Source organism: Homo sapiens, chromosome 1, assembly GCF_000001405.40.
Source record: "Homo sapiens chromosome 1, GRCh38.p14 Primary Assembly".
NCBI classification, from domain to species: Eukaryota; Metazoa; Chordata; class Mammalia; order Primates; family Hominidae; genus Homo; species Homo sapiens.
Window position 1 is genome coordinate 23,497,713 of NC_000001.11, and position 7,378 is coordinate 23,505,090.

Here is a 7,378-nt window from a genome sequence, read left to right on the forward strand (position 1 = left end):
TCTGCCTGCTGTGCAGCCTTCTCCCCTTCTTTCCTTAGGCAAGCATCTCCTTCAGGCCCCATCCCCAACCCTCTCTGAGTCCATCTTTCCATAGATGGAGCCCATCCGAGCTCCCAGAGCATTCTATTCTTCCTTGATGGTGGCATTTATAACACTTTATTAAACGACATATTTATAAGACATGAAGTTTGGCTAGAGGTTAAGAGTAGGGTTTCCTGGGGCTGCATGGCCTGGGCTCTATCACATGTTGTGTGACTTTGTACACATTGCCCAACCTCTCTGAGTCTCAATTTCCTCATTTGTAAACATGGGGCTAATAACAATACCTACTTTATAGGGTTTTGCCAGAAACCATTTAGCCATAACTTTTAATGGCAAAAACCGCAATTACTTTTGCACCAACCTAATAAATGATTTTGTTGTTGTTGTTTGTTTGTTTGTGGTTTTTTTTTTTTGGTTGTTTGAGATGGGGTCTCACTCTGTTGCCCAGGCTGGAGTACAGTGGCATGCTTATGACTCACTGCACCCTAGACCTTCTGGGCTCAGGTGATCCTTCCAGCTCAGCCTCTCAAAGGGCTGGGACTACAGGCCACCACCATGCCTGGCTAATTTTTTGTATTTTTTGTAGAGATGGGGTTTCACTATGTTGTCCAGGCTGGTCTCAAACACATGGGCTTAAGTGATCCATCTGCCTCCCAAAGTGCTGGGATTACAGGTGTGAGCTACCACGCTTGGCCGGAAGCTAAATGATGTTATGCACACGAGGCCCTAATTTGTTGAATAAATGAATGAGCAAGTGAGTGAATCCACTGGGCTGTGAGCTCCTCAAGAATAAGGATTGTTTTCTTTCTTTTTTACATTTTGCAATGTCTGAATCCCAGTGTGGGCATTGCATGTTATCTGGTGCGGTGGTCCTCCTGACCAGTATTCTCAACATCACCTTGGAGCTTGTTAGAGATGCCCTTTTTTTTTTTTTTTTTTTTTTTTTTTTTTTTTCAGATGGAGTTTCACTCTTGTTGCCCAGGCTGGAGTGCAATGACACAATCTCAGCTCACCGCAACCGCCGCCTCCCAGGTTCAAGCAATTCTCTGGCCTCAGCCTCTCAAGTAGCTGGGATTACAGGCATACGCCACCACACCCGGCTAATTTTGTATTTTTAGTAGAGACAGGGTTTCTCCATGTTGGTCAGACTGGTCTCGAACTCCCCACTTCAGGTGAGCTGCCTGCCTTGGCCTCCCAAAGTGCTGGGATTACAGGCATGAGCCACCACGCCCAGCCCAGAAATGTCCATTTTTAGGTCCCACCTGTGACCTACTGAATCAGAAATTCTAGGGATGGAGCCCAGCAAGCTGTACTCTAACAAGCCCTCTGATTCTGATGAGCGCTAAAGTTTGGGATCTACCCAGCCAGCACATAGAGGCTCAAAGGTGTTTGTCTAAATATATGTTCAAATCCATAAGCTTTATGTGGTTTGAATTAGAATTGGCTGTAAGCTCCATAAAATGAGGGGGCATGGTTTCCCTAGCACCAGGTAGAGGCAGGCGCATAGTAGATGCTCAAAAAAGGTTTGTGGGCCGGGCTCAGTGGCTCATGCCTGTAATCCCTCCTGCTTGGGAGGCAGAGGCAAGCAGATCACTTGAGGTCAGGAGTTTGAGACCAACCTGTCCAACATGGCAAAACCCCACCTCTACTAAAAATACAAAAATTAGCCGGGTGTGGTGGTGGGCGCCTGTAGTCCCAGCTACTCAGGAGGCTGAGGCACGAGAATTTCTTGAACCCTGGAGGTGGAGGTTGCAGTGAGCCAAGATCGTGCCACTGCACTCTAGCCTGAGCAACATAGCAAGACTCTGTCTCAAAAAAAAAAAAAAAAAAAAAAGGAAAAGTTTTGTGAAACAAATGAACAAATGAGTGAAGAGCCCTTTTGGTTCTTTTTATGGTTCTCAGTATCTTAGATTTTCCAAAGTTCAGTTTCATTACCTGTTCTCTCTTCCAGGATCTGTGGAAGGATCTACAAGCAAAGTAAACAGCTTAATATACAAAACAAAAAAGTATTGTCACACTGTTGAGCACTTTGAAACTCTCAGTTAGAACCCCCGAAAGGTCTGGTTTTCTATCCCTGCTGCAACTCAGAGCTTGAGGCACCTCAAGAATCCTGCTGCGGCCGGGCACAGTGGCTCACACCTGTAATCCCAGCACTTTGGGAGGCCAAGGCAGGCGGATCACAAGGTCAGGAGTTCGAGACCATCCTGACTAACACGGTGAAACCCCGTCTCTACTAAAAATACAAAAAATTAGCCAGGCGTGGTGGTGGGCGCCTGTAGTCCCAGCTACTCGGGAGGCTGAGGCAGTAGCTGAGGCTGAGGCAGGAGAATGGCGTGAACCTGGGAGGCAGAGTTTGCAGTGAGCCGAGATTGTGCCACTGCACTCCAGCCTGGGTGACAGAGTGAGACCTTGTCTCAAAAAAAAAAAAAAAAAAAAAGAATCCTGCTGCAGACGCACACCTGCCAGGCCTTGGCCACCCAGGGAAAGAGGAAGCAATTTCTTAAGGCAGGTAAACACCCTTGACAAGGAGGGAGCAGTAGTTATGACCCCACCTTGGAACAGGGTAGATGCCCAATAAATGTCTGATAAATAAATGGCACTTGTTCAGGACAGCATTGTAGTTAATTGCATAAGTTCGAAACAGACTGGCAGGGGCTTTTTTCTTATTCCTTGTTTTATTGCTTTGTCCGGGATCACTAATACGATGTTGATTTGTAGGAATGATACTGGATGTCCTTCTCTCATTTCTAAAGTTTCACCATTAAGTTTGATATTTGCTGTGGAAAGTAATTCCTGTGTATTCTTATTTAGCTATCAGGTTTCTAAAAACCGTGAATGAGTGTTGAATTTTTCAAGTGTTTTTCCTGTATCTATGGAGATGGTCACATGGGTTTTTCCTTTAACTTGTTAATGTGAAGGGTTGAACTGATTGCTAAATAAGAATACCCGGGAACCATCACCATATCACTTTTAGAATATTTTAATCACACCCCCATAAGACTCTGTGTCCATTAGCAGTCTTCTCCCCTCCCCAACAACCTTAAATAACCATGAATCTCTATAAATTTGCCTATTCTGGATATTTTATGTAAGTGAGATCATATAGGTTGGGCATGGTGGCTCACACTTATAATCTCAGTACTTTGGGAGGCCAAGCCAGGAGGATCACTTGAACCCAGGAGTTTAAGATCAACCTGGGGAACATAGTGAGACTTCGTCTCTATAAAAAAAATCAAACAATTAGCTGTAGGTTGGTTTTTTACTTTCTTGATGATGTCCTTTGCAACAAAGAAGTTTTTAATTTTAGGCTGGGTGTGGTGGCTCACGCCTGTAATCCCAGCACTTTGGGAGGCTGAGGCGGGTGGATTATGAGGTCAAGAGATCGAGACCATCCTGGCCAACATGGTGAAACTCCAAATACAAAAAGTAGCCTGGCGTGGTGGCAAGCGCCTGTAGTCCCAGCTACTTGGGAGGCTGAGGCAGCAGAACCACTTGAACCTGGGAAGTGGAGGTTGCAGTGAGCCGAGATTGTGCCACCGCACTCCAGCCTGGCAGCAGAGAGAGACTCCATCTCAAAAAAAAAAAAAAAAAAAGCTTTTGATTTTAATGAAGTCCAATTTATCTATTTTCTTCCTTTTGTTACTTGTGCTTCTGGTGTCATATTTAAGAAATTATTACTTTGAGAGGTGAGGCAGGAGGATCACTTGAGGCCAGGAGTTCAAGACCAGCCTGAGCAACACAGGAAGAACCTGTCTCTATAAGAAATTTAAAAATTAACTAAGCATGGTGGCAGGCAAGTGCCTGTAGTCCCAGCTACACAGGAGGCTGAGGCAGGAGGATTGCTTGATCCCAGGAGGTCGAGGCTGCCGTGAGTTTTGTTCACACCACTGCACTCCAGCCTGGGCGACAGATGAGACCTTGTCTCAAAAAAAAAAAAAAAAAAAAAGTAAGAAATTGTTGCCTAATATAAGGTCACAAAGACTTATGTCTATGCTTTTTCCTAAAAGTTGTATAGTTTTAGCTCATATATTTAGATCTTTGATTCATTTCTGAGTCAAATTTTGTATATGTTGTGAGTTAGGGGTCCAACTTCATTCCTTTTTTTTTTTTTTTTTGAGATGGAGTCTCGCTCTGTCACCCAGGCTGGAGTGCAGTGGCGCCATCTCTGCTCACTGCAACCTCCACCTCCCGGGTTCAAGCAATTCTCCTGCCTCAGCCTCCCGAGTAGCTGGGATTACAGGCATGCACCACCATGCCTGGCTGATTTTTGTATTTTTAGTAGAGATGGGGTTTCACCATGTTGGCCAGGCTTGTCTTGAACTCCTGACCTCAGGTCTCCTCCTTCTTCTTTCTTCTTCTTCTCTCTCTTTCTGAGGCAGGGTGTCACTCTGTCACTCAGGCTGGAGTGCAGCTCCATCTTAGCTCATTGCAACCTCTGCTTCCTGGGTTCAAGTGATTCTCCTGCCTCAGCGGCCAAAGTAGCTGGAACCACAGGCATGCACCACCATACCCAGCTAGTTTTGTTTGTTTTTTGTAGAGACTAGGTCTCACTATGTTGCCCAGGCTGGTCTTGAACTCCTGAGCTCAGGTAATCCACCCGCCTTGGCCTCTCCAAGTGCTGGGATTACACGCGTGAGCCACCGCGCCTGGCCTACTTTTTGTCTTTGTAGGTTTTTCTATTCTTCATGTCTCATGTACATGGAATCATATGTGATTTTTTGTGACTCGCTTCTGTCATTTAGCACCATGTTTTTGAGGATCATATTGTAGAATGTATCAGTACCTCATTCCTCTATATAGTTGAATAGTATTCCATTGTATGAATCTAATACATTTTGTCTTTCTGTTCACCAGTTGATGGATATTTAGGTATTTCCAGTTTGGGGCTATTACGAATAATGCTGCTAGAACCATTTGTGTCCAAGTCTTGTCTTTGCATAGACATATGTTTTCATTTATCTTGAAGCAGAAATGATCCTACTGCAAGTAGAATAATTCTATACCTAGGAGTAAAATTACTGGGTCTTATGGTAGTTTTATGTTTATCTTTTTGAGGAGCTGCCAAACTTTTCCAAAGTGGCTACAAATTTTACATCCCCAACAATGTATGAGGAACTTCAACAATGTATTGGGAACTTCTGAGTGTTTCCTCATCTATAAAGTGGGAATAAGAGTAACTCTGATTTCCTGAGGTTGTTGTGAGCATTAAATGAGATTATGGTGTATGAAGGCCAGGAAACCTTCCAAAATGACCAACCCCCTCCCACCAACTCCTGTAATGTATACCAGTCACTACAATTGTTACATTATTTATAATTATATTTTTATGTGTTTGTGTTTTGTGAGCATCCTGAAAATGGGAACTAGGTCTTATTCATATTTATCTTCTCAGTGCCCAACATGTAATATTCAGTAAGCTATAACAATATCCATGTACAAAGTATTAATGATTACACGTTAATGTCAAGAAAACTACAAAAAGCTCTCCCTCTCCCTCTCCCTCCCCCTCCCCCTCCCCCTCCCTCTCCCCGTCCCCTCTTTCCACGGTCTCCCTCTGATGCCGAGCCGAAGCTGGACTGTACTGCTGCCATCTCGGCTCACTGCAACCTCCCTGCCTGATTCTCCTGCCTCAGCCTGCCTAGTGCCTGCGATTGCAGGCGCGCGCCGCCACGCCTGACTGGTTTTCGTATTTTTTTGGTGGAGACGGGGTTTCGCTGTGTTGGCCGGGCTGGTCTCCAGCTCCTAACAGCAAGTGATCCGCCAGCCTTGGCCTCCTGAGGTGCCGGGATTGCAGACGGAGTCTCCTTCACTCAGTGCTCAATGGTGCCCAGGCTGGAGCGCAGTGGCGTGATCTCGGCTGGCTAAAACCTCCACCTCCCACCCGCCTGCCTTGGCCTCCCAAAGTGCCGAGATTGCAGCCTCTGCCCGGCCGCCACCCCGTCTGGGAAGTGAGGAGCGTCTCTGCCTGGCCGCCCATCGTCTGGGACGTGAGGAGCCCCTCTGCCTGGCTGCCCAGTCTGGAAAGTGAGGAGCGTCTCTGGCCGGCCGCCATCCCATCTAGGAAGTGAGGAGCGCCTCTTCCCGGCCGCCATCCCATCTAGGAAGTGAGGAGCGTCTCTGCCCGGCCGCCCATCGTCTGAGATGTGGGGAGCGCCTTTGCCCCGCCGCCCCGTCTGGGATGTGAGGAGCGCCTCTACCCGGCCGCGACCCCGTCTGGGAGGTGAGGAGCGTCTCTGCCCGGCCGCCCCGTCTGAGAAGCGATGAGACCCTCCGCCCGGCAACCGCCCCGTCTGAGAAGTGAGGAGCCTCTCCGCCCGGCAGCCGCCCCGTCTGAGAAGTGAGGAGCCTCTCCGCCCGGCAGCCGCCCCGTCTGAGAAGTGAGGAGCCCCTCCGCCCGGCAGCCGCCCCGTCTGAGAAGTGAGGAGCCTCTCCGCCCGGCAGCCGCCCCGTCTGAGAAGTGAGGAGCCCCTCTGCCCGGCAGCCACCCCGTCCGGGAGGGAGGTGGGGGGGTCAGCCCCCCGCCCGGGAGCCGCCCCGTCCGGGAGGTGAGGGGCACCTCTGCCCAGCCGCCCCTACTGGGAAGTGAGGAGCTCCTCTGCCCAGCCAGCAGCCCCGTCCCGGAGGGAGGTGGGGGGGTCAGCTCCCCGCCCGGCCAGCCGCCCCTACTGGGAAGTGAGGAGCCCCTCTGCCCGGCCACCACCCGGTCTGGGAGGTGTACCCAACAGCTCATTGAGAACGGGCCATGATGACAATGGCGGTTTTGTGGAATAGAAAGAGGGGAAAGGTGGGGAAAAGATTGAGAAATCGGATGGTTGCCGTGTCTGTGTAGAAAGAGGTAGACATGGGAGACTTTTCATTTTGTTCTGTACTAAGAAAAATTCTTCTGCCTTGTGATCCTGTTGATCTGTGACCTTACCCCCAACCCTGTGCTCTCTGAAACATGTGCTGCGTCCACTCAGGGTTAAATGGATTAAGGGCGGTGCAAGATGTGCTTTGTTAAACAGATGCTTGAAGGCAGCATGCTCTTTAAGAGTCATCACCACTCCCTAATCTCAAGTACCCAGGGACACAAACACTTCGGAAGGCCGCAGGTCCTCTGCCTAGGAAAACCAGAGACCTTTGTTCACTTGTTTATCTGCTGACCTTCCCTCCACTATTGTCCTATGACCCTGCCAAATACCCCTCTGCGAGAAACACCCAAGAATGATCAATTAAAAAAAAAAAAAAAGAAAGAAAACTACAAAAAAAGATTCTTGAACTGGGCCTTCAAGAATAAGTAGGCACCCACTCAGCTCAAATGGAGCACAGGGCATCCTAGGTGGAAGGAACAGCATGT

General features: G+C 48.3%; 2 annotated features.

Annotated features, from left to right (window-relative positions):
- Nucleotides 5,650-6,484: an enhancer, noted in NCBI's record as "H3K27ac-H3K4me1 hESC enhancer chr1:23829854-23830688 (GRCh37/hg19 assembly coordinates)". NCBI's record gives its function as "activates a minimal SCP1, AML or CMV promoter by ChIP-STARR-seq in naive and primed H9 embryonic stem cells {active_cell/tissue: H9 hESC(naive and primed)}" and the evidence as "EXISTENCE:reporter gene assay evidence [ECO:0000049][PMID:30033119]".
- Nucleotides 6,485-7,318: an enhancer, noted in NCBI's record as "NANOG-H3K27ac-H3K4me1 hESC enhancer chr1:23830689-23831522 (GRCh37/hg19 assembly coordinates)". NCBI's record gives its function as "activates a minimal SCP1, AML or CMV promoter by ChIP-STARR-seq in naive H9 embryonic stem cells {active_cell/tissue: H9 hESC(naive)}" and the evidence as "EXISTENCE:reporter gene assay evidence [ECO:0000049][PMID:30033119]".